Source organism: Homo sapiens, chromosome 19 (assembly GCF_000001405.40).
Source record: "Homo sapiens chromosome 19, GRCh38.p14 Primary Assembly".
Classification (NCBI taxonomy): domain Eukaryota; kingdom Metazoa; phylum Chordata; class Mammalia; order Primates; family Hominidae; genus Homo; species Homo sapiens.
Genome location: NC_000019.10, coordinates 9,178,374 through 9,205,408, shown reverse-complemented (window position 1 = coordinate 9,205,408; position 27,035 = coordinate 9,178,374). Strand labels below are relative to the sequence as shown.

Genomic DNA, 27,035 nt, shown 5'->3' with positions numbered 1-27,035 from the left:
GCCCCTGGTGGCTTGCCGCCCACATTCACATATGAAACATGGAGAGGAATTGAACCTATCAAGCAATAAATATAATGTAACCAAGGGGGAAGGATTTAAAGGTCTTGATATTTTGTATCAAAGCTCTGCCTTTTCCAACCAATACTACAAAAAAGATGCAACAGATAAGGAGATTACATTATTCTGCCGTGCAGCCTCTGCAGGGCACTTTGAATGTCCCTGTTTCTCAGGCTGTAGATGAAGGGGTTCAGCATGGGGGTGACCACCATGTACATTACTGAGGCCACTGCACCCTTCCTGGAGGAAAGGGACACAGCTGAACTGAGGTACCCTCCAAGGGCTGTTCCATAAAGTAAGCAAACAACTGACAGGTGAGAGCTGCAGGTGGAGAAGGCTTTATACTTCCCACCTGAAGAGAGAACTCTCAGAATGGAGGAAACAATTTTATAGTAAGAGAAAAGGATCCCTAAGAGAGGGAGAAAACCAAATATGGCACCAATAAAATATACAACCATGTTATTAATGGAGGTGTCAGAACAGGCCAGCTTGAGAAGTTAAGAAGGGTCACAGAAAAAAATTAGAGATTTCCACATCGTTGAAGCAGGTAAGTTGTAACACAATCAAATTGTGCAGCTGAGAGTCCAAAAGGCTAAGAAAAAAAGACACCAAAACTAAGAAGCCACAGAGTCGTGGGCTCATGATGACTTGGTAGTGCAGGGGGTGACAGATGGCCACGAACCGGTCATAGGCCATCACAATCAGGAGCAGACTTTCCATACATGCGAAAAAGATCAAAAAAGACATCTGAGTCAGGCAGCCCACGTAAGAGATGAGTCTACTATGAGCCTGGATGTCCACAATCATCTTGGGGACAGTAGTAGAGGCAAAACCGATGTCAGCCAAGGACAGGTTGGAGAGGAAGAAGTACATGGGGCTGTGGAGATGGGAGTCAGAGCTGACGGCCAGAATGATGAGCAGGTTCCCCAGCACCATGACCAGGTACATGGACAGGAACAGCCCAAAGAGGACGGGCTGCAGTTCTGGATCATCTGGGAGTCCCAGGAGCAGGAATTCTAAGACACCTGTGAGATTCTCTGGCTCTGTGTATCTTGGACACAATTGAGAAAAAGAGAATTGGAAAAAAGGAAAGGACAAAATCAGCACCCAGCACTGTGTCTATATTTTGGATACAAGCAATTTACAATTAATGTTTTCACATTTGAGGATCATATACCCTCAGCCATATTTCTCAGTTTTGAAAACCCTAATTTTCTTTTTTTTTATTTTAGACTCACAGAATACATATGCAGGCTTGTTACATGAGTAAATAATGTGTCGGTAAAGGTTTGGTGCAGCAATGATCCCAACACCAAGGTAGTGGGCTTAGTACTGGATAGATAGACTTCCACCCCATAAACCCCCACCCTCCCCCATCAAGCAGTCCCCACTGTTTTTCCCATCTTTGTGTCCGTAAAACCCAATTTGCTACAAGTCCTTTTGTAATTGATTGGTGTGTTAGTCACCTGATTCTGTAGACACTTACCTTAGAGACCCTTGACTGAACAAAGTGAGAAGAGCAAGAACATTTGAGAAAATTCATGATCACATTAAAATACAGCGTACTCTTTTCAGTAAAAATATAAAATAAGAAATATTGGCTAGGCGCAGTGGCTCATGCCTGTCATCCCAGCACTTTGGGAAGCCAAGGCGGGAGGATCACTTAAGCTGAGGAGTTTGAGACCAGCCTGGACAACATGGCAAAACCCCGTCTCTACTAAAAATACAAAAATTAGCTGGCGTGGTGGCATGTGCCTATGGTCTCAACTACTTGGGAGGCTGAGGTGGGAGGATCACTTGAGCCCAGAGGTGGAGGTTACAGTGAGCCAAGTTCACACCATTGCACTCCAGTCTGGATGACAGAGTGAGACCTTGTCTTACACACACACACAAAAAGTAAAGAAATATCTTTCCCCATTTAAGAAAAGAAATCTTTGTAATTAAAAGAAACCAAAGACATTCAAATATGCCTTATTTCATTCTAATTCAATGCTACAAATTCCTTTGATTTACAATATTTAGAAATATTCTGTAAGACCTAGGACCACGTTATTTCAAAGATAAATTAAAGTTGACAGTTCATAAGCAGACATTTTCACATTCCAGTTCTGTTCTAGTGTTTTCATTGTCTTCATGGTTTCTGACTTCACTTTCCTGTGGAAGCAAAGTCTCCCTCAAATATGTGGGTTTTCTTTTGAAATTCATTTAATATTCAACTCCTGTCCTTGCTTAGGTGGACTCAGAGTTTTGATAAATAAGGTTTAGTTAAATGCGCATAATCAAAGCCATCAGTGACTACAAGTTGTCTGTAGTGCGCAAGGCACCTGTGGATGTTTGAGCATTAATAAAAGTGTTTTTTTTCTTGAGATAGAGTCTTGCTCTGTCGCCCAGGCTAGAGTGCAGTGGCGTAATCTTGGTTCACTGCAACCTCCGCCTCCTAGACTCAAGAGATTCTCTTGCCTCAGCCTCCTGAGTAGTTGGGATTACAGGCGGGTGCCACCATGCCCGGCTAATTTTTTGTGTTTTTAGTAGAGACGGGGTTTCATGTTGGTCAGGCTGATCTCGAACTCCTGACCTCATGATCTGCCCGCCTCGGCCTCCCAAAATTCTGGGATTACAGGCGTGAGTAATGCAATTTTAAGAACACTTTTGCATTACTTTATGTGAGGCTAGAAAGATGTGAAAGTCTAAAATGTGTTTCTGTCTAAGCAATAATGTTTACCTTCCCCTCTTCTTTCTGTCTCTTTCTCTCTTTTTTTCTCAGTATTTCCAGAGATTTTTGGCTTTAAATATTTATTTTATTCTGTGTATATAATTTTTTTGTGAAATGTTCCAAGAAATCAAGGGAATGTACATAATATGTATGTACTTAAAAAAAAAAAAGAACAATAATGAAATACCCAAGTACCTATCCCACAGTTTAACAAATGCAATAAAACCAATCTTTGGGCCGGGCGTGGTGGCTCATGCCTGTAATCGAAGGACTTTAGGAGGCTGAGGCTCAGGATCACTTGAGGTCAGGAGTTTGAGTCCAGCCTGACAAACACGGTGAAACTTCGTCTCTAATACAAAAACTAGCCAGGCGCAGTAGGGCCTGCCTGTAATGCCAGCTACCCGGGAGGCTGAGGCAAGAGAATCACTTGAACCTGGGAGGCGGAGGCTGCAGTGAGCCAAGATCGTGCCACTCCAGCCTGGGTGACACAGCGAGACTCCATCTCAAAAAACAAAACAAAACAAAAAACAATCTTTGGGCCAGGCTCGATGGCTCATGCCTGTAATCCCAGCATTTTGGGAGGCCGAGGTGGGCTGATCACTTGAGGTCAGGAGTTCGAGACCAGCCTGGCTAACATGGTGAAACCCCGCCTCTACTAAAAATACAAAGATTAGCCGGGCGTGGTGGCACACACCTGTAATCTCACCTACTTGGGAGGGTAAGGTATGAGAATCATTTGAACTCAGGAGGCAGAGGTTGGAGTGAGCCAAGATTGCACCACTGCACTCCAGCCTGGGTGACAGAGCAAGACTCACTTTCAAAAAACAAACAAACAAAAACAAAACAAAACAAACAAACAAGAAAAAAAAAGCACAATCTTCGAAGCCGTGCATCCTTCTATGGTTCCAGGCACCCCAGCCCTACGGCACAGGTAACCTCCAATGTGAAATTTGAGTTAATCTCTTCTTTCTTTATACTCTACTCATATATATATATATCCCTAAGTAATGAATCATTTAATTTTGCTTTCTTAAATTTTATGTCAACGAAAGTATAGAGCAGGTATTACTCTGTAACTTGCTTTTTCATTCAGTATTTCTGTAGAGTTATATCCACATTTACACACATAATTATACATCATTTTCTTTTTAAAAAATATTATGGGTACATAGCAGGTGTATATATTTATGAATGACATGAGATATTTTGACACAGGCATACAAGGTACAATAATCGCATCAGGGTAAATGGGGTATCCATCACCTCATGCATTTATCCTTTCCTTGTGCCAAACAATCCAATTACTCTTAGCTATTTTAAAATGTACAATAAATTATTGTTGATTACAGTCACCTAATACTAGATCTCATTCATTGTCTCTAACTATACTTTTGTGTTGCTTAACCATCCTGCACTTTTCCCCTCACCCCCACTCCCCTTCCCAGCCTCTGGTAATCATCCTTCTACTCTCTATCTCCATGATTTCCATTGTTTTAATTTTTAGATCCCACAAATAAGTGAGAACGCGTGAAGCTTATCTTTCTGTGCCTGGCTTATTTCATTTAAATTGATGGCCCCCAGTTCCATCCAAGTTGTTGCAAATGACAGGATCTCTTCCTTTTTTATGGCTGCATAATGCTCTATTGTGCACATGTACACAATTTCTTTGTCCATTCATATGTTGAATGGATGGTGAATGCTTAGCTGCTTCCAAATCATGGCTATTGTGACTAGTGCTGTAATAAACATGGGAGTGCAGATATCTCTTCAATATATGGATTCCCTTATGGGGGGGTATATACTTAGCAATGGAATTGCTGTATCTTTTGTTTGTTTGTTTGTTTTGAGATGGAATCTCGCTCTGTCGCCTAGGCTAGAGTGCAGTGGCGCGACCTTGGCTCACTGCAACCTCCGCCTCCCAGGTCAAGCGATTCTCCTTCCTCAGCCTTCCGAGTAGCTGGGACTACCGGCGCCCGCCACCACGCTCGGCTAATTTTTTGTATTTTTAGTAGAGACAGGGTTTCACCATGTTAGCCAGGATGGTCTCGATCTCCTGACCTCGTGATCCACCCGCCTTGGCCTCCTAAAGTGCTGAGAATACAGGCATGAGCCACCGCACCTGGCCCGGAATTGCTGCATCTTATGGTAGCTCTATTTGTAGTATTTTGAGGAAACTCCAACTCGTTCTCCATAATGGATGGACTAACTTGCATTCCCACCAACAGTGTGCAATTGTTCCCCTTTCTCCACATCCTTGTGAGCATTTGCTATTGCCTGACTTTTTGATAAAAGCCATTCTAAATGGGGTGAGATGATATCTCCTTGTAGTTTCGATTTGCATTTCTCTCTCTCTCTTTTTTTTTTTTTGAGATGGAGTCTTGCTCTGTCACCCAGGCTGGAGTGCAGAGGCACGATCTCAGTTCACTGCAACCTCTGTCTCCCAGGTTCAAGTGATTCTCCTGCCTCAGCCTCCTGAGTAGCTGGGATTACAGGTGCCCACCACCATGCCCAGCTAATTTTTGTATTTTCAGTAGAGATGGGGTTTCACCATGTTGGCCAGGCTGGTCTCAAACTCCTGACCTCAAGTGATCCACCCGCCTCAGCCTCCCAAAGTGCTGGGATTACAGGCATGAGCCAATGCGCCTGACCTGCATTTCTCTTAAAAGAGATTTTTATTTCTGATGCCTCCTCTGTGTCAAGCAGGTTAGAGACTCTGGAGAATTAGAGATGAAAGAGACTCAGTTGTTTCTGTCACAATAATCAGTACTTAATTATATAAGGACAAAAATAAAATGTCCTGTGGGAAGTACAGAAACAGTAACTTCAGGTCACAGGATATTTCAGTTGAGTGATATAAAGATTAATCTTAAAATATTAATAACAATTTCTAGAATACACGTTGCCTTTACTTTATGCATCCATCACAAATAGATCCCACAGGGAGCCCCCATGATCTGCTTAATCAATACTGAATGTATCTGTGTCAACTAGAAATCAACTCAGGTGGCAATGTTGAGTCTCAGAAACACTAACATCTTGCCCCCTGCCACACAGATAAGTGGAATAACAGGATTTTAAAAAAATTATAGGTTGATGCAAAAGTAATTGAGGTTTTTGCCATTACTGTTGTCACCAACCTAATAAATGATCAGTCTCTGAGTCTCAGGCATGAACCTTTTTTATGTTTCCCAGCTATCAGAAAGTTGTAAGCAGAGGTAAGAGGTCTTAACCACAGGCACATCGGAGGTGCATTTTCAAACTGTTTCCAGATTCCTGAGTAGGAATGAGGCCAAAACTCTGATTTTATTTCTCCTTTCAGGAGGTGGAGAGCTGCAAGGAAAGCCAGGAACAGGGGCAAGGGAGAGATGCACCCTGAAGGATCCTGTGCCAGTTCTTTCTGGGATCTTTGATGTGATCTCAGCTGCCCTTTCTATACTTGATACAGTGAACGTAGCACCCACTGGTCTAGCTGTGGTCTACCAGGAACCCACTGGTAAGCAGTGAGCACACCAGGGGTCCAGAGTGACAGGGATTCGAGAGGGCAGGTTGGATGCAGGAAGAGGCCTAGCCAAATGCCATGTGCAAGGATTTAGATGGCCTGATTCAAACATGGCTTTACTCCTCTCTACTTCATGAAATACTACAAGTTACATAAAAATGCACAGCTCCTTTCCTCGTGCAAAATAATAATAATGTGTGCACTTATGGATTGCAGAAGGCTATGCAGATAAAATGAAACAAACCACATAGAACACAGAACTGGGCGCCTGGCATTCAGGAAGCCCTCAGGAAAAGTTCATGATGTCATAGTGACTGTCCTCTTCCTCCTCATCCTCATCATCAGCTTCATAATCCTTTTACAGTGTTCATGGAATAGCTTAGAGAGACCTATTTTTTCCTAGCTTCAGTGAGATGTCTATAGCAAGTAGAACCAGTGGAGGGAGAAAGTAAAACTTTGAGTGAGATTTCAGAGTCCCCACCACAATCAAGAACATAAACTCCACAGTTGTCTGAGCTGATATTTTGCACATTGATGTCCTCCTATCTGCCACTCCACTGTCCTGTTTGTCCTGAGGATGAGGAAAGAAGGCTCCCGACCATCCCTCAGCACTCACTGAGCTGCGCTTCCCCTCTGCTGGGCCATGATCATGGAGAGCAGGTCCGCTGTCCTCCCTGCGTGGTGCACGATGGAGGCTCAGGCTCCGTCCTCAGGACTGGCAGGAAGACAGGGTCAGACATGAGCCTCCTGATGCAGACGACAGGTGTGGAGCCCACTGGACTGGAAGCTCACACTGCAGGGCTGGAGGCACAGGCTGAGTATTCACTATGCTATGGCCTTGGGGGCTCAAGGCACAGAGCTCCTCATTAGCCAAATTGGCCCAAGTTCCCCAATCTCTAAGGACTTCCTCATAATAATTCAGGAAGAAGAAGAGAAAAATGAGTGTCCATAGAAGCTTTTGGGCTCTTCCTCTAATCAGGAGAAAGCTTGTGTGTATTATTCACTTTTTTCTTTTCTTTGTAAAGATCCAAATGCTTCAATTTTCATCTTTTATTGTGGTAAAATATACCATGTGTAAATATTAAAAAGTATAAATATATATTATTTTATATAGAAGGGTCAATATAAACAATTTCCACTATTTTTAAGTTTACAGTTTAATGACATTAAGTACATTTGTATTGTTTAGCAACCATCACCACCATCATCTCCAGAACATTTTTATCTTTCAAAATGGAAACTGTGCCCATTCAACAAACTCTCCATTCCTCTCTCTCGCCCACTCCTTGGGGCCACCATTCTGTTTTCCAACTCTATGAGTTTAACTACTCTAGATATTTGATATCAGTGGAATCATACTGTGTTTATCTTTTTTTGAGACAGAGTCTCATTCTGTCACTCAGGCTGGAGTGCAGTGGCGTGATCTTGGCTCATTGCAACCTCTGCCTCCCAAGTTCAAGCAATTCTCCTGTCTCATTCTCCCAAGTAGCTGGGATTACAGGCATGTGCCACCATATCTGGCTAATTTTTGTATTTTTAGTAGAGACGAGCTTTCGCCATGTTCGCCGGGCTGGTCTCAAACCCTTGACCTCAAGTGATCCGCCTGCCTCAGCCTCCCAAAGTGCTGGGATTACTGGTGTGAGCCACTGAGCCCAGTTGTGTTTATCCTTCTGTGATTTATTTACTTCAGTGATGATAATGTCTTCAAGGTATGTACTTTTGTATAAAAACCAAAGAGTTGGCTGGGCGCAGTGGCTCAGGCCTGTAATCCCAGCACTTTGGAAGTCTGAGGTGGGCAGATCATGAGGTCAGGAGTTCGACACCAGCCTGGCCAATATGGTGAAACCCTGTCTCTACTAAAAATACACAAATTAGCCAGGCGTGGTGGTGCGCACCTGTAGTCCCAGCTACTCAGGAGGCTGAGGCAGGAGAATCTCTTGAACCTGGGAGGCGGAGGTTGCAGTGAGCCAAGATTGCACCAGTGCACTCCAACATAGGCGACAGAGTGAGACTCTATCTTAAAAAAAAAAAAAAAAAAGAGTTATGTTTGTGCAGTAGAATGAATCATTTTCTTTCATCTTTTCCTAATTTCCCCTCACATGAAGAGTCCACTTAATGGAAACAGGAGGATACTATTTTCTGAGTTTTTTTTTAATGTGCAACTGAAGAATGTCTACCATCACTTTTTAATGTATTAACCTTCATTATTTGCAGAATCTTTCAAAACCTTTCTTTTCTTATGTGATTTTTTTTTTATACTTTAAATTCTAGGGTACATGTACACAACGTTCAGGTTTGTTACATATGTATACACGTGCCATGTTGGTGTGCTGCACCCGTTAACTCATCATTTACATTAGGTACATCTCCTAATGCTATCCCTTCCCCTCCCCCCACCCCACAACAGGCCCCGGTGTGTGATTTTCCCCTTCCTGTGTCCAAGTGTTCTCATTGTTCAATTCCCACCTATGAGTGAGAACATGCGGTGTTTGGTTTTTTGTTCTTGCGATAGTTTGCTGAGAATGATGGTTTCCAGCTTCATCCATGTCCCTACAAAGGACATGAACTCATCCTTTTTTATGGCTGCATAGTACCATGCTGTATATGTGCCACATTTTCTTAATCCAGTCTATCATTGATGGACATTTGGGTTGGTTCCAAGTCTTATGTGATTCTTTATCTGTAAATACTGTTTAAGAAATCTAGATCCCATTCAACGGTTCTGATCAAACACTAACAAACCATACGTTTTGTTTCCAAGGAGTTCTCTGTATAAGAGGAATAGGGCTTCAGTGAGGAAAGAAAATATGGTTTGAACAGATATCAAATTGCCTTCACTCTCATAAGTCAGTGTACAATTACTTCATTGTTATATGAAGGAGAGCTGTCCTCACTGTGCAAGGTTGTGAGTATATAGATAATGATATTCATTCTCTGCCCTTGTGTAAATATAAAAAAGAGACAGTCCGTCAGCCATCCAGGATAATGAACAACAGGAGTTCAAATAATTTACTTGAAATGCATTGATCTAAGTGTAGATGATGACAATGATATCTACATTTACTAATTTCTTATCAGGTAAATACATTATCTGTTTAATCCTAGAGTTCCTCAAGCTGAACATCATTAAAAATGATGAATTAGAGGATGTGGAGCTAATAAATATGTTCTGGTCCAGTCAGCAAATGACTTAGATGAGCTAATGTTGAAAATCAAACTTCAACCCTTAAAACCCATATGTTGGGCCAGGCGCAGTGGCTCACGCCTGTAATCCCAGCACTTTGGGAGGCCGAGGTGGGCAGATCACAAGGTCAGGAGATCGAGACCATCCTGGCTAACATGGTGAAACCCTGTCTCTACTAAAAATGCAAAAAATTAGCCAGGTGCGGTGGTGGGCGCCTGTAGTCCCAGCTACTCGGGAGGCTGAGGCAAGAGAATGGCGTGAACCTGGGAGGCGGAGCTTGCAGTGAGCCAAGATCGTGCCACTGCACTCCAGCCTGGGCGACAAAGCGAGACTCCGTCTCAAAAATAAAACAAAAAATAAAACACATGTTCAACAATACACTAATCAATAATACATTGATTATGACAGTTTGGCCTTATTGTTCCATTACTACCTATTAAATAGTTATCTAATTAGAGATATATTTCATTATATCTCCCCAGCCAGCCTCTCAGATAGACCATTATCACAGTATTAGGTGAACTAGTGTAATAGAAATATGTTTTGTATTGCATACAAGGTTACACAGTTTGCAATAACAGTTTGCTTATGAATTCTGCAATAACAATTTGCTTATGAATTCTGGAAATTTTCATAAAATTGACTTCTTTTATGTAATAATATATACTAATAATATATACTAAAAATATTTGATGGAAAACTACCTTTACTGGTTCATGATACCATTATATATGATCATTGCATGATCTTGGAAGGAAAAAAAATGATTGTACTTAATTTGCTACTGAGGAATCTGAGGTTCAGAAAAGAGCTGTGAGCTGCCAAAGGTCCCAAATTCAAGAGCCAATATATGGCTGATGAAGTAGCTACAAATCTGACATTTTTTTCCATTATCTGTAATTTCCGTCCAAATCAAAGATTGTCATAGTAATCTTAGATGGCTATTCTGAAGCATCCAAACTTCTGCCATGTAAGGTATTAGTTCATCATAGCTCTCTTCTAAATCTTGACATAAAGAGCAAAGGACAGAGCATCACCTATGGGGAGCGTCTACAATGTGATTTCAACAGGCAATATTAATGTACCACTTATCATGTTCGTTGACTATTGGGTGACAAATGAAGAGCTCACTTTTATTGGTGACATATACATTTAATATCTTAGGATAAAGTTATAGAAGAACATGATTAAATTATTTATGATGAAATTGGTGGTTCAATAATCCTCAGACATCAGTAGAGCCACATAGCAACTGGAAGTAGAAAACCAGCATTTAAACCTCAGTTAGATGCCCTTCACAAAGACATGTGTTTTATAACCAGCTTTATTTCTTGAGCACATTTAAAAATATTCCAATTGTAGAGAACTACAACATACCTTTGTTCCCAAATCAAAGTTCAGGAATAGAAGTCAATCTAGTTATTTTAATGAAGAGAATTGAATATAGGGAGTTGGTTCAATTGTTACTGCAGGACAAAGGCAAAAGGAAACAATGTAGTAACAGAAACAGTAACTGAAGGTAGCCTCTAAACTCTGAGGCTTCGGGGAGTGAAGGTGTTAGTGAAGTACACTGAACTTTCAGTGTGATGAGCCTTAGTGACCAGGAGTGGAATTACATAAGAAAACTACATGGGCTGGGTACGGTGGCTCACGCCTGCAATCCCAACACTTTGGGAGGCCATGGTGGGTGGTTGGCTTGAGGTCAGGAGTTTGAGATCAGCCTGGCCAACATGGTTAAACCCCATTTCTACAAAAATACAAAAATTAGCTGGGCATGGTAGCCTGTGCCTGTTATCCCAGCTACTTGGGAGGCCGAGGCAGGAGAATTGCTTAAACTCGGGTGACAGAGGTTGCAGTGAGCTGAGATCATGCCACTGCACTCCAGCCTGGGCAACAGAGTGGGACTCCGTCTCAAAAACAAACAAACAACAACAAAAACAAAAAACCCACATGGGAAATAGAACAGGGTTTCGAGAGTCCCAACCTGGCAAAAGATGAGTACAGAAGAATGACATCAGAACAGAAATACTATAGGTTAAAGACCAACATAATAAGAACCACACAAATCGTATCTCCTTGCTATTTTGAAATATTCCACATTATTGTTAACTAAAATTTCTCTACTGTACTATTAAATACTCGAATTTAATTCTTCTGCATGGACCTTTGGACCCATATACCAACTTCTCTTCAACCCCCTCCCCATTTTTACCATGCTCTGGTAGCCAATATTCTACTGTCTGCCTTCATGAGATTAACTTTTCAGCTCCTACGTATGAATGAGAACATGCATTTTTGTGCCTTCCCTATTTCACTTAACGTAATGACCTACAGTCCCATCAAAGTTGTTGCAAATGACAAGATGCCATTTGTTTTACAGCTGAATCATATCTCATTGTATATGCATACACCACATTTTCTTTATTAGAAAGTAAAAATAACACGTATTTTTAAAGAACCAGTCTCTGAATGGGAAGTCTAGGGATATTGTTACCATGTTATTATTTCCTATTTCTCTTTTTATGTATGCACAAGAAGGAAATATGATAAAAATCTATATACATGTAAAACTACAGTTGCAGTAGATAAAATAAAAATTCTAAGGGGTGAAAATAACCCAGCATAATGACAGTCGGTTCAGTGTTGAAGGCAATGCATTTGAAGAAATCACATTGCCTGGTGGTACAAAAAACTCCTTTGTAACTTACATTGAGTTTAATCCCTTTGGGAACTTTACCATCTGAACTCTCTCTGATGTTTGTAATATCCTCATACCCACACAAGTCTAAGTAAATCAGAATCTCTGGTAATGAGACCCAGGCATCAGCACTTGTAAGCTCTCTGGGCAATTTCAATCTAACTCAAACTTGAGGACCAGTGACATGGATCCTCACATATAATCTGCCTAAATAGATTTTATAGATGCAAAGTGTAAATAAATTACAAATGAACAGTGAAAAGCAATATAAATGTGAAGTACAGTAAATTCTCATTTAAGGTCTTCAATAGATTTTTGGAAACTGCAACAATAAGAAAAATGATGTATAATGAAACCAGATTCTTTTTCTCAACAACTTTATAGCTAAACAATGTTAAAGGAAATGACATTATTTGAGGACCTCCTATAATTCATTTTCTTAAAGTCACAGTTTCCAAGAACCTATCAACATTATGTGAGGACTTAACTGTATACAAGAAGAGAGATGTGGCCAGGTGCGGTGGCTCACGCCTGTAATCCCAGCACTTTGGGAGGCTGAGGCAGGTGGATCACAAGGTCAGGAGTTTGAGACCAGCCTAGCCAACATGGTGAAACCCCGTCTCTACTAAAACTGCAAAAATTAGCCAAGCATGGTGGTGGGTGCCTGTAGTCCCAGCTACTCAGGAGGCTGAGGCAGGAGAATTGCTTGAACCCGGGAGGCAGAGGTTGTAGTGAACTGAGATCACACCACTGCACTCCAGCCTGGGCAAAAGAGCGAGAATCCATCTCAAAAAAGAAGAAGAAAAAGAAGAAGAAGAAGAACAAGGAGAAGGAGAAGGAGAAGAAGAGAAGAAAGAAGAAAGAAGTAGAATGTAATTTCACCTGGATACCAGGGTCATTGCCCAGAAACTAAAAGAGTCCGTCTAGGTATATTGAATTCAATCATGATGTTTATTAAGAACAAAGGATATCAGAATACTCAGCAATTCCAACTAGAGACATAACGAAGGAAGCGATATTCTTTGCAGGTCTAGATATTTGACCTTGCTGCCTTTTCCAACCCATGCTAAAGAATGGAACCGATAATAAGATCATGAGATTAGACTATTCTGCCATGCAGCTGCTGCAGGGCACTTTTAATGTCCCTTTTTCTCAGGCTGTAGATGAACGGGTTCAGCATGGGGGCGACCACTGTGTACATCACTGAAGCCACTGCACCCTTTCTGGGATAAGAGGACATGTCTGAACTGAGGTACCCTCCAAGGGCTGTTCCATAAAATAAGCAAACAACTGACAGGTGAGAGCCACAGGTGGAGAAGGCTTTATACTTCCCACCTGATGATGAAACCTTCAGAATGGAGGAAACAATTTTATAGTAAGAGAAAAGATCCCCGAGATGGGAAGAAAACCAAGTATGGCAGCAAGGAAATACATGACTATGTTGTTGGTGAAGGTGTCACAACAGGCAAGGTGGGGGAGTTGAGAAGGGTCACAGAAGAAACTGGGAATTTCCACATCCTTGAAGCAGGTAATTTGTAAGGCAATCCAATTGTGCAGCTGGAAGTCTAAAAGACTGAGAAAAAAAAGACAACAAAACCAGGAAGCCACAGAAACATGGGTTCATGATGACTGGATAATCCAGAGGGTGACAGATGGCCACAAACCGGTCATAAGCCATCACACTCAGAAGCATGTCTTCCATGCATCCAAAAACAGCAAAAAGAGATATCTGAGTCAGGCAGCCCGCATAGGAGATGACTCTGCTGTGAGACTGGATGTCCACAATCATCTTGGGGACAGTGGTGGAGGGGAAACCGATGTCAGCCAAGGACAGGTTGGAGAGGAAAAAGTACGTGGGGGTGTGGAGGTGGGAGTCAGAGCTGACGGCCAGGATGATGAGAAGGTTCCCCAGCACCATGACCAGGCACATGGACAGGAACAGCCCAAAGAGGATGGGCTGCAGTTCTTAATCTGTACACACCCTGTGTGTACATGCTGGGATATTATTCATAATATCTCTTCAATATTACTGCAAATAATATCTCTTTGATATTACTGCAAATAATATCTCTTTGATATTACTGCAAATATCAGAATGGGTGTACACCCTGTGATATAATTAATAATATCTCTTAGAAATTACTGCTAATATCACAGTGGGTGTACACCTAGGATATGATTCATAATATCTCTTTGATAATACTGCTAATATCACAATGGGTATACACCATGTGATATGATTCAAAATATCTCTTCGATTTTACTGCTAATATCACAGTGGGTGTACACCGTGTGATATGATTCATAACATCTCTTCGATATTACTGCTAATATAACACTGGTTGTACACCCTGTTATATGATTCATAATATCTCTTCAATATTAATGTTAATATCACAGTGGATGTACACCCTGTGACATGACTCATAATATCTCTTCGCTATTACTGCTAACAACACAGTAAGTGTACACATTGTGTGTACACTCTGTGATATGATTAGTAATATTTCTTAGATGCGGTGGCTCACGCCTGTAATCCCAGTGATGTTAGATGGAACATCCTCCTGTTTCCTGGATATTACAACTACCTAAGGCAAATGTGAATTTAAATATTCTGGCTCTTTTTTTCTCTCTCTAAAAGACATGCCTCTGTTTCCCATTCCTAAAGCACCTATAAAATTGCTTTATATGTTTTTGTATATTTCTATTCAACAACTCCTTCAGTGATTAATTACTTTTATAGTTTTCTTCTCTGTACATGGTCATCAAATCTCTGTCTTTGATCAGTTTACTTTCAGCTGTTCTTGAGATTTCTAAAGCATCATTTAAATCATTTTCATGTCATGCACTGACATGGCTTCCTCAAAAATTATCCATTTGAATGTCGTGGTTCTTTACTTTGTTGTGTTCTTGTTATCTCTGTGATAGTGACAGGAGACAGCCAAATACCCAGGCAGATGGGGTGGGTCCCCGGTAAAACCCCACCTTCAAGCCAAAAACAGTCTATAGGCTGAAAGACTGGACTACTCGTCCTGGATGAAACCTGCGACCCAGAGTGAAAACTTCTGTTCTTGTTTACTTGCCCTTTCCCAACAGATTTTTTTTTTTTTGAAAAATGCCTTTTAGCCAATCGAATGTTGCCTTTTTGAATAATACCTATGGTCTGTCCCTCCCCCATTCTGAGCCCATAACAGCCCCAGACTCAGCCATATTGATAAAGGAGATAGAAAGAAATTATTTAGGCAGAGAGTGAGGGTAAAAGAGTCCTTGGAGGAATTTCCCTAACAAAAAGCAACCCCCAAATCATTTCTTTTCTGACAAAGAGAAGCCTGAAAAATCAAGCTGCAGACATAGATAAGCAACTGCAAGCTTGCATGGGTGAATCCTAGCAGCTGCGCCAATAGGAAAGGGCTACTTGAAAGCCAGACACGTTCAGCATAGAGTCTCCATCTTTCCTTTTCTTTGTCAGCCCATGTGCAGTAAAGACACAGGCAACATGGCGCCGGCCAGATAGAGAATCCATCTGCATAATAAAAGATTAGGGTGGGGTGTTAAGTGTTAACAGCTCAGTGGGCCCTTTGCCTTTTTGCATGAAGTGGCTGCCCTCCACCAGCGAGGGCAAAGGGCCAGTATGACAGGCTTTTGTAACCGCACTTGTGGCTCCTGAGCACTTTTCCAGCATCTAGGAAAAATAAGGTTGCATGAACGAATTGAAGGATGTTAAATGCAGGAGGGATCTTATGTCTGATCAAAGTGGCTCTCAGGTAAGGGAAGCTGGAAAAGGGATGGGGCAGGCAGGTAATGAAGTCCAGTCGTCTCCTGCCAAATTCTTCTCTGAAGTTATACCATCGAGCTGTCCTTCTGAGGTCAAAGCTGCTTCTCTCTAATGTCCAGCCATAGTTTCATCTACTGGCTGAGTCTGGGGTTTTTATAGGCATAGCATGGGGTTGGGCAGGGTCAGGGGTGGTTTAGGAAAAGGTGATATCCAAGCGAGAAAACAGGGATATAAGTTCTCACTTTGGGCTGCAGTTTCAGGCTTTTTGGCTTGAGGGTGGGGTTTTGCCTGGGAACTGCCCTTTTCTGCCTAGAATTTCTCCACCCTCTGTCCCTATCACCCTCAAGGCCCCACGCTTCCTGGGGTAATAGGGCCTGGTTATTTCTACACAATGTGAGAATTCTCCAAAGAGCAGCCCTAGCTTTAGAGCTCCCCATAGAGTTGGCAGAAACTTTCTCAGATCTGCATAAACATCTCTTATGGACTAAATTGCACCCCCCAAAATTAATATAGTGAAGTCCTCACCCCCAATATGATGACTGTCTTTAGATACAGGGTCCTCAGGGAGGTAATTAAAGTTTACTGAAATCATAAGGGTCAGGCCCTGATCTAATAGGACTGATATTCTTAGAAGAAGAAGAGACACCAGAGAGATATAACCAGCTATATTTAAATACGTATTTTAATCATACTTCATCCAGTAGGAAAACAAATAAACACTGTTGATCTGTTCATGATCGAACACACAAACAACAAAAACCCACATGCAAACACATAGAAATAAAGTCAGTGAACAATCAATAGCTTAAGAACTCTGTGCCACCACTTGAGATAACAAAGCTATAGCAAATGCTTCAAACCCAAGTTCAGAACTCACTAATGGAGAATTAAGAACGATGATCAAGGACACAATTTTTGAATAGCACATAGGACAGAAGTGCCATCAAGGAAATTACTTGGAGATTAATTGTTAACTTACACCCCCATGTTTATCACGGCACTATTCACATTAGCAAAGATATGGAATCAACCTACGTGTCCATCAATGGAGGACTGGACTTTTTTTAAAGTGGTATCTTAAAGAACTAGAAGGCCAGGCACAGTGGCTCACACCTGTAATCCCAGCACTTTGGGAGGCCGAGGTGGGCGTATCACCTGAGGTCAGGAGTTCAAGACCAGCCTGGCCAACATGGTGAAACCCTGTCTCTACTAAAAATAGAAGAATTAGCTGGGTGGGGTGGCAGGTGCCTGTAGTCCCAGCTACTCAGGAGGTTGAGGCAGGAGAATCGCTTGAACCTGGGAGGTGGAGGTTGCAGTGAGATGAGATCGCGCCACTGCACTCCAGCCTGGGCAACAGAGTGAGACTCTGTCTTAAAAAAAAAACAAAAAAAAGAACTAAAAGTAGAACTACCTTTCAGTCCAGCAGTTCCACTACTGGGTATCTACCCAAAGGAAACAAAGTCATTATGTGAAAAAGACACATACACCTGCATGTTTATAGCAACATAATTAGCAATTACAAAGGCATGGAACCAACCTAAGTGCCCATCAACCAATGAGTGATAAAGATTGTGGTATATGTACAGCATGGAATACTACTTATCCATAAAAAGGAACCAAATAATGTCTTTTGTAGCAACTTGGATGGAACTGGAGGTCATTACTCTAGGTGAAGTAACTCAGGAATGAAAAACCTGGACTTGTTTGTATGTTCAACCAACATACATAAGATCCATATGAACATATCGTATGTTCTCAGTTATAAGTGGGAGCTAAGCTATGAGGACACAAAGGGATATGAACAATATAATGAACTTTGGTGACTTGAAGGGAGAAAGGTTGGGAGGGGGGTGAGGAATAAGAGACTACTACCACTTGGGTGACGGGTACACTAAAAACTCAGAAGTCACCACTAAAGAACTCATCCGTGTAATGAAAAACCACATGTACCCCAAAAACTACTGACATAAAAATAAATTTTTTTAAAAAAAGAAAACATGGTATGTATCTACATATGTCTATATCTATATAGATATCGAGGATATATACAATGGAGTACTACTCAGCCATAAAAAAGGATGAAATCATGTCTTTTGCAGCAACATCGATGGGACTGGAAGCCATTCTCTTAAGTAAGGTAGTAAAGAAACAAAGTCAAATGCTGCATGATCTCACTTATAATTGGGAGCTAAACAATGTATACGCATGGGCATTATAACAGAATAATGGACACTGGAGACTGCAAAAGGTGAGAGGGGAGTGAGAGTTTAAAAACTGCCTTGGCCGGGCGTGGTGGCTCACACCTGTAATCCCAGCACTTTGAGAGGCCAAGGCAGGTGGATCACAAGGTCAGGAGTTCGAGACCAGCCTGGCCAAGATGGTGAAACCCCGTCTCTACTAAAAGGCATGGGTGGCACACACCTGTAATCTCAGCTACTCAGGAGGCTGAGACAGAAGAATCACTTGAACCCGGGAGGCGGAGGTTGCAGTGAGCCGAGATCACTCCACTGCACTCCAGCCTGGGAGACAGAGTGAGACTCCGTCTCAAAAAAGAAAAAAAAGTGCCTTATGTTCACTATTCAGGTAATTGGTACGCCAAAAGCTCAGACTTCACCCTTATGCAAATGCATGTTAAGAAATCTGCATTTGTACTCTCAAAGTATAAAAAAATGTTTTTAATTTTAAAGAGTAAGAATTTCAAAATAAAACATTTTTGCCATTGGTGCTCACAAAACTTCTTAGTCCTGGGGCCAAGGGATCCATCACAAACAAGAGGCTGCCCTGCTGAGGAGACTCCCCAGGGCTCCCTTCACATCCTTGTTCCTCAGGCTGTAGATGAAGGGGTTCAACATGGGGGTGACCACAGTGTACATCACCGAGGCCACGGAGATTTTCTGGGAAGAGTGAGTCACCGCAGAAGTGAAGTGGACCCCAATGCCTGTCCCATAAAATAAAGAAACGACGGAGAGGTGAGACCCACAGGTGGAAAGTGCTTTTTGTTTTCCCCCAGATGAGGACATCTTCCTTATGGATGAAGCAATTCGTGAATAAGAGAAAATGATCCCAAGGAGGGGAAAAACGCCCAGCACACCCGTCATAAAGTATATCAACGTGCTGTTCAGGAAGGTATCAGAGCAGGCCAGCTGGAGGATGTACGTCAGTTCGCAGAAAAAATGTGGAATTTCAAAATCTTTACAGAAGATTAGATGCATCATCAGAGAAATATGGAGGAGGGATGTCATGACACCAATGAGCCAGGTGACAAAAACCAGGAGGCCACAGAGGTGGGGGTTCATGATGATCATATAGTGCAGAGGGTGGCAGACAGCCACAAACCGGTCATAGGCCATCACGGTCAGGAGTAGCGTGTCCAGAATAGGAAAAAACATGGAGAAATAGACCTGTGTGAGGCAGTCCATGTAGGAGATGGCTTTGTTCTCGGTCTGGATGTTCACCAGCATCTTGGGGACGATGCAAGTGCTGAAACAGATGTCAACCCAGGACAGGTTGGAGAGGAAGAAGTACATGGGGGTGTGGAGGTGGGAGTCAGAGCTGATGGCCAGGATGATGAGCAGGTTTCCCAGCACCGTCACCAGGTACATGGACAGGAACAGCCCAAATATGAACGGCTGTAGTTCTGGATCCTCAGAGAGTCCGAGAAGGATAAACTCTAAAAATCCTGTTTGGTTTCCTGCTTCCATGTAGCTGATGTATCTACAAAAGAAGAGGTCATTAGCCAGGCATGGTGGTGGACACCTGTAGTCCCAGCTACTCGGGAGGCTGAGATGGAAGGATCACTTGAGCCCAGGAATTTGCAACTGCAGGGAGCTATGTTTACACCACTGCACTCCAGCCTGGGCAATAGAGGGAGAACTGTCTCAAAAAATAAAAATAAAAAATAAAATAAAAATAAAACTATGTATATATGTATTTATTTTAAAATATACATATTTATTTAAAATTATATTTATTTATTTATTTAAAAGGAAGCGGTAAGAGAAACATCAGTTAACATCCAACGGGCATCCTTCATGTAATAGAAATGTTGTCCATACTATTTACTTGTGATTTATGGACTCATTTTGTCTAATCTTTCATACGTAAATGGAATTCTAAAAAATGAAGTCTCTCATCTCAACCACCCATATATTTAATTATTTAAAAATTAATTATATTCTGTATATTCAACGTATACTATATATGTTATGAGATACATATAGATAGTAAAATGGTTACTGTAGTGAAACAAATGAACATATCCATCGTCTTACATAGTTACCCATTTTCTTTATAGCAAGAACAGCTACAGTCTACTGATGTAGCATAAATCCGGAATACTACATACTGTTATTGACTATAATTTTCATGGGTACACTGGATCTCTAGACTCGTTTATCCTATATATCTGCTACTTTATATCCATTATCCTACATCTTCTTCATTTTCTCCCCCAGCCGCACCCCTCCTCTGGTAACCACTGTTTTATTCTCTATATTTGACTTTAAAAAAAATATTCCACATAGAAGTGAAAAAATGCAATATTTTTCTTTCTGCATCTGACTTATTCTACTTAACATAATGGCCTCCAGATTCATCCATGTTGTGGCAAATGGCAGGATCTATTCCTATTTTATCAATCAGTGGAATAATATTGATTGTAAAAATTGTGTAAAAATATATATACACACACATACACATACATATATATACACACACATACATATATATACACACAATGGAATATATATACACAAATATATACACACACACAAATGTACATATACATATATATCACATTTTCTTTAGCCATTTCTCCATCAGCAGACACTTAGGTTGTTTCCATATCTTGACTTTTGCAAGTAATGCTGCAATGAACATGAGCATGCAGATATCTTTACGAGTGGCAATTTCATTTTCTTTGGATACATATCCAGGGGAGGGATTGCTGGATCATATTTAATTTCTTTTTATTTTAAATTTCTTTTATTTTAAATTTCTTCTTTTTGATTTTATTATTTTTATTTTTTGAGAAAGAGTCTCAAAATTTTAATTTCTTTTTCCTTTTTATTTTTTGAGACAGATTCTCTGTCGCCCAGGCTGGAGTGCAGTGGCGTGATCTCAGCTCACTGCAACCTCCACCTCCCAAGTTTAAGCGATTCTTGTGCCTCAGCCTCTTGAGTAGCTGGGATTACAGGTATGTGCCACCACGCCTAGCTAATTTTTGTATTTTTTGTATTTTTTCTTTTTTTTAGTAGAGACAGGGTTTCACCTTGTTGACCAGGCTGGTCTTGAACTCCTGGCCTCAAGTGATCCACCCGCCTTGGCCTCCCAAAGTGCTGGGGATTACAGGCGTAAGCCACCACACCCGGCCTCTATTTAATTCCTTTAGGAACCCTCACACTATTTCCCATAATGTCTGCTCCAATCTACATTACCACCGACAGGGCACAAGGGGTTCCCTTTTCTTCTCACCCTTGCCAACTCTTGTCTTTTTTTTTTTTTTTTTTTTTTTTTTTTTTTTTTTTTTGAGACGGAGTCTTGCTGTCGCCCAGGCTGGAGTGCAGTGGCGCAATCTCGGCTCACTGCAGGCTCCGCCCCCTGGGGTTCACGCCATTCTCCTGCCTCAGCCTCCCGAGTAGCTGGGACTACAGGCGCCCGCCACCTCGCCCGGCTAATTTTTTGTACTTTTAGTAGAGACGGGGTTTCACCGTGTTAGCCAGGATGGTCTCGATCTCCTGACCTCGTGATCCGCCCGCCTCGGCCTCCCAAAGTGCTGGGATTACAGGCGTGAGCCACCGCGCCCGGCCAACTCTTGTCTTTTTAATAATAGTGAATAGTTAGTTAATAGTTAGCTAATAATAGAGCCAATTGTTAGCTAACCGCTAGTAATGGTTAATAATTCTAAGGTCAGGCATGGTGGCTCACGCCTGTAATACCAGCACTTTGGGAGGCTGAGATGAAAAGATTGCTTGAGGCCAGGAGTTCAAGACCAGCCCGAACAACACAGTAAGACTTGCTCTCTACAAAAAAATAAACCAAATTAGCTGGGCATGGTGGCATGTGCCTGTAGTCCCAGCCACTCAGGAGGCTGAGGCGGGAGGATCGCTTTGAGCCACAGTGTTCGAGGATGCAGTGAGCTGAGATTGTGACACTGAACTTGAGCCTAGGTGACAGGGCGAGACCATGTCTTAAAATAAAAAATTACACGGATCTCCCACCAGTCACAGAAAGCGGCTCTGACCCAGCTGAAGTAATTCTTTCCACTGCCCCGGAACCCACCCACGGGAGCAGGCAGCTGGGTTGGCGGGGCGGGGTGGGGCGGCCTTGGAATAGGGGCTGTGGCAGTACACACGGACCCTGCTGCGCTGGCTGTGGGCCTGACGAGAAACTACTAAAGTTCCTGGGGAAGCAAAGTAGAATTTCGTAAGAACAAAATGGATGGTGAGAAGAAAACCTACGGTGGCTGTGAAGGCCCTGATGCCGTGTATGTCAAATTGATATTATCTGATGGCCATGAATTTATTGTCAAAAAAGAACGTGCATTAACATCGGGCACGATAAAAGCCATGTTGAGTGGCCCAGGTCAATTTGCTGAGAACGAAGCCGATGAGGTCCATTTTAGAGAGATCCCTTCACATGTGCTATCAAAAGTATATGCATGTGGCCGGGCGCGGTGGCTCACGCCTGTAATCCCAGCACTTTGGGAGGCCGAGGAGGGCGGATCACCAGGTCAGGAGATCGAGACCATCCTGGCTAACACAGTGAAGCCCCGTCTCTACTAACAATACAAAAAAAATTAGCCAGGCGTGGTGGCGGGCGCCTATAGTCCCAGCTACTCGTGAGGCTGAGGCAGGAGAATGGCGTGAACCCGGGAGGCGGAGCTGGCAGTGAGCCGAGATCTCGCGACACTGCACTCCAGCCTGGGCGAGAGAGCGAGACTCCGTCTCAAAAATAATAATAATAATGATAATAAATAAATAAATAAATAAATAAAGTATGCATGTATTTTATGTACAAGGTTCGCTACGCTAACAGCTCCACCGAGATTCCCGAATTCCCAGTTGCGCCTGAAATTGCACTAGAACTGCTGATGGCTGCGAACTTCCTAGATTGTTAAATACAATAAATTATAATAAACTGTTAACTCATTTCAGTATTTAATACCTGTAGTTCAGTTAGTATTTTTTTCATATATAGCATGTTGCCTATATGCAGCTGAACTGTATAAAGTTCATTGCAAAGCAGATTATCTTCTGGTTTTGCATAGCAATCAAAGTTGAAATTTGTTTGCTACCTCAACAAATTAAGGACATTTTCACAAACTGATAAATAAACAAAAATGCCAATTCATAGGTAAAAGAATAATAATAATAAACAATTCTAACAGGCGTGAGGAAATATCTCATAGTTAACCACCCATATTAAATATCCATTTTATAACGTCCCAAACAAAATAGAATTCTAGAAAATGGACTCTCTAATCCCAACCATCTATCTTAACACTGATTTTATAGCACCCCTATTACATGGTCAAGGAGATTCTTAATGGGACATAATAAACATGTGCTTTCTGATAGGATTCACTGGAAACAGCGAAACATCATTTCTGTGGGATTCCTGCCAAAGACGCAGAACTTTAAAGAGTAGGGAACATCACACAAACTGAGCTTGAGGGGCACAATATCTCACTTGTGCTCTTCAAAAATGTCAGTGCCATAAAATACAAAGAAATGCCAGGCATGGAGGCTTACACTTGGGATCCCAGCACTTTGTGAGGCTGTGAGAGTATCGTTTGAGTTTAGCAGTTTGAGGCCAGCCTAGGAAACATAGTGAAACCCCTTCTCTACAAAAAATACAAAAATTAGCTGGGCATGGTGGCACATGCCTGTTGTCCCAGCTACTTGGGAGGCTGAGGCAGGAGAATTGCCTGAGCCCAGGAGGTTGAGGCTGTAGTGAGCTATGATTGCACCACTGCAACCCAGCCAGCCTTGGTGACAGAGCAAGACCCCATCTCAAAAAAAAAAAAAAAAAAAAAAAAGTCTAGGAAATGTTCCAGATTAAAGGAGGCAAAAAAGACATATCAATCAAATGTAATGGATGACTTGAGTCTTTCTTTTGCTATAGATGACATTATTGGGATAATTAAAATATAAATGAGAAGAAATAAAAAAATAAAATATAAATGAGCTCTGTAAATTTTATAGTATTATATTAATGCTATATACTAATTACTATATTACTAATATAGTATATAGCAAATAGTGTATTATATATCTATAATACTATATATAATATGGTATTAATGCCAATTTCCTGATTGTGATCATTGCACTGTAGTTATGTGAAACAATTTTTTTTTTGACAGGGTCTGGGTCTGTTGCCCAGGCTGAAGTGCAGTAGCATGATCATAGCTCACTGCAACCTCCACTTCCTGGGCTTAAGCGATCCTCCCACCTCAGCCTCCTGAGTAGCTATGACTACAGATGCTCGCCACCACACCCGGCTAATTTTTGTATTTTTAATAGAGATAGGGTTTCACTATGTTGGCCAGGCTAGTCTCAAACTCATGACCTCAGGTGATCCACCCGCCTCAGCCTCCTAAAGTGCTGGGATTACAGGCGTGAACCACTGTGCCCAGCCAGCATTATTTTTTACTTAAATATTTAGACAAATACACCATGAAGCCCGACGAACCTGAAGTTTCTTTGTGGCAAGTCCAGATCACATTCTAGAAAATTTTACTTTATCCAGATATTCCCCAAGGCTTTGTACTCATCATGGAAAGCTGAATGAAGGTAAAAAAAAAAAAAAATCACATATAAGACAAACAAGAAATCTGCAAATTAATCTCATGTTGACAACAGATGCAAAAGCCTGAAAGGGGAGTGAAATGAAGTTATCTTTTGGATAAAATAACACACTCCATTACTAATGAATATTTATCCTAAGAGTGTAAAAAATTTAATATCGGCAAGTCAGATAACAAAGTATATGCGTGAATAGAGCAAGGCAGAAAAAGAAACCATGGTTTTAACATAAGCTAAAATTCATTTAATAAAATGTAACAGCCTGGCTGGGTGCTGTGACTCCTGCCTGTAATCCCAGCACTTTGAGAGGCTAAGGCAGGAGAAATTCTTGAGGCCAGGAGTTTGAGACCAGCCTAGACAACAAAATGAGACACTTGCCTCTACAAAAATAGATTTTTAAAAAATTAGCTACTTGGGAGGCCAAGGCAGGAGGTTTGCTTGAGCCCAGAAAGACCCTGTCTCAAAAAAAAAAAAAGTCAACTTAAACACAATTAATTACAACTAATCAGTGTCATCAGCTTTCTTATGTATCTGCAAACAGCCATGAGAAAAAATAAGAGGAAAAAAAGTCCATTCACAATTGCAATGATAATATATGTAACATCTGGTGCAGAGTGAACATTTAATACATACTTGTTTTGTTTTGCTTTGCTTTGTTGATTTTTTTTTTTTTAGACGGAGTTTTGTTCTTGTTGCCCAGGCTGAAGTGCAATGGTGCAATCTCAGCTCACTGCAACCTCTGCCTCCCAGGTTCAAGAAATTCCCCTGCCTCAGCCTCCCAAATGGCTGGGACTACAGGCACACACCACCATGCCCGGCTAATTTTGTATTTTTAGTAGAGACAGGGTTTCACCATGTTGGCCAGGATGGTCTCGATCTCTTGACCTTGTGATCCACCCGCCTCGGCCTCCTAAAGTTCTGGGATTATAGGCATGAGCCACTGCACCCGGCCGAGAACTATTATATTATACTAGAGAAGAAAAAGGAAGGTGTTAGCAGGTAGACTGAAAGGAATCCACTCAAGGAAGTGCCAGTTCCTACTGACATTGAGAAAGTCACTAGTTTCCAGAATGAAAGGCCATCAGAGGTGGAGGTGACAGAAACAGTTGCAATAGAATCTTTTTTTTTTTTTGAGACAGCGTCTCACTCACTCTGTCACCCAGGCTGGAGTGCAGTGGCGTGATCTTGGCTCATGGCAACCTCTGTCTCCCGGGTTCAAGCCATTCTCCTGACTCAGGCTCCCGAGTAGCTGGGATTACAGGCATCCGCCACCATGCCCAGCTAATTTTTGTATTTTTAGATGAGATGGGGTTTCACCAAGTTGGCCAGGCTTGTCTTAGACTCCTGGCCTCAAGCGATCCGCCTGCCTCAGCCTCCCAAAAGTTGCAATGCCTTAAGACATCTATAACCAGGTAAGGGAATCCTAGAGACATTTTAAAAATCATGAGACATTATCAACCCTGTTACCTCCATCTCTGTTCCTCCCCACACTACTTTTTAAATCCTTTTCACACACGGTACTAACAAGGATAGTGTGAGTCACTCAACTGACATTGCTTGAAAAAAAAAAATGCTGGTATGACGTCTTCCTCCCCTGACTGTTGAATGCTGAAGACAGAATCTAGCAGGGAAAGGCGGGGAGATGGAACTTGTCATGAAGTCATCCTAACTCTCCTCTCTAAGATGCATGAGTGTGGCGTCAGGAAACTGTCCAGGTGAGGTGTTTTAGGGAAGTATTTATGGTTTCTCAAGCCCCAGGGAGCTGATGTCTCATCCTTCCTCATTAAATCCACTGTTCCAGTGATGTTCTACTCTCCAACCCATTCGGCTCCCTTGGGATCAAGAGCAAATGGCAGAAAGGTATGATGTGTTCTAATTCTGTTTCCAAGAAGGCAGCTCTGAAGCCAGGTGACTCTCTCTGCACCTCCCACCCTCTTGGGGCCTCTTTATTCTTGGAAGAGCTTTCATCACTATTGGTTTGGCTTTGAGATAAAGAGGTTTTCCCCTCTGGAATGTGTCGCAGAAGCTACAAAGACCCATCTCTCTGTAATCCCAGTGCCTAAGGGTCTCAAGGTAACACAGAAGAAAATAGAGATGCAACTATTTCCGTGAATCCCCTGTGATCGCGTTGGCTGCAGGGCGTTAAACAGGCTGTGGACATGTCGTAAGTCCTGTTTCAAGAGAGGGAGAGTCAACCATTGCGAGATACAGCAAGATTTCTCTTCAAACAGCCTGCTCAGCTTCTTATTCTCTAATTCCAAGTACCCCCCCCACACACTTTCTTCTCCTTTTCTTCTTTCTG

General features: G+C 41.9%; 1 protein-coding gene and 3 pseudogenes across 3 annotated transcripts, besides 1 other annotated feature; 1 reads left to right on the top strand and 3 right to left on the bottom strand.

The window, feature by feature from the left end:
- OR7E25P (olfactory receptor family 7 subfamily E member 25 pseudogene) lies at positions 177–1,157 on the bottom strand (annotated as a pseudogene).
- Positions 13,332–13,980, bottom strand: OR7E16P (olfactory receptor family 7 subfamily E member 16 pseudogene; annotated as a pseudogene).
- Positions 15,442–15,964: an enhancer, noted in NCBI's record as "OCT4-NANOG hESC enhancer chr19:9300121-9300643 (GRCh37/hg19 assembly coordinates)". NCBI's record gives its function as "activates a minimal SCP1, AML or CMV promoter by ChIP-STARR-seq in primed H9 embryonic stem cells {active_cell/tissue: H9 hESC(primed)}" and the evidence as "EXISTENCE:reporter gene assay evidence [ECO:0000049][PMID:30033119]".
- Positions 16,591–26,430, bottom strand: OR7D2 (olfactory receptor family 7 subfamily D member 2). Of its 3 annotated transcripts, NM_175883.4 has the most exons (3): positions 26,286–26,430; positions 24,621–24,711; positions 16,591–19,640 (listed from the first exon to the last, which is right to left on the bottom strand). In NM_175883.4, the coding sequence occupies exon 3, from the start codon at positions 19,625–19,627 to the stop codon at positions 18,689–18,691; it is 939 nt and encodes a 312-aa protein (NP_787079.1). In that variant the 5' UTR covers positions 19,628–19,640; positions 24,621–24,711; positions 26,286–26,430; the 3' UTR covers positions 16,591–18,688. The 3 variants fall into 3 exon arrangements, with proteins under 3 accessions (NP_787079.1, NP_001373041.1, XP_047294273.1); NM_001386112.1 differs by lacking the exon at positions 24,621–24,711; XM_047438317.1 differs by lacking the exons at positions 24,621–24,711; positions 26,286–26,430 and adding an exon at positions 22,283–22,625.
- ELOCP29 (elongin C pseudogene 29) lies at positions 22,183–23,281 on the top strand (annotated as a pseudogene).
- Positions 26,431–27,035: the final 605 nt, after the last annotated feature.

Bases quoted from the DNA above. Each gene is read 5' to 3' on its own strand.
- OR7D2 (NM_175883.4), bottom strand. From the start codon at position 19,627: ATGGAAGCAGGAAACCAAACAGGATTTTTAGAGTTTATCCTTCTCGGA.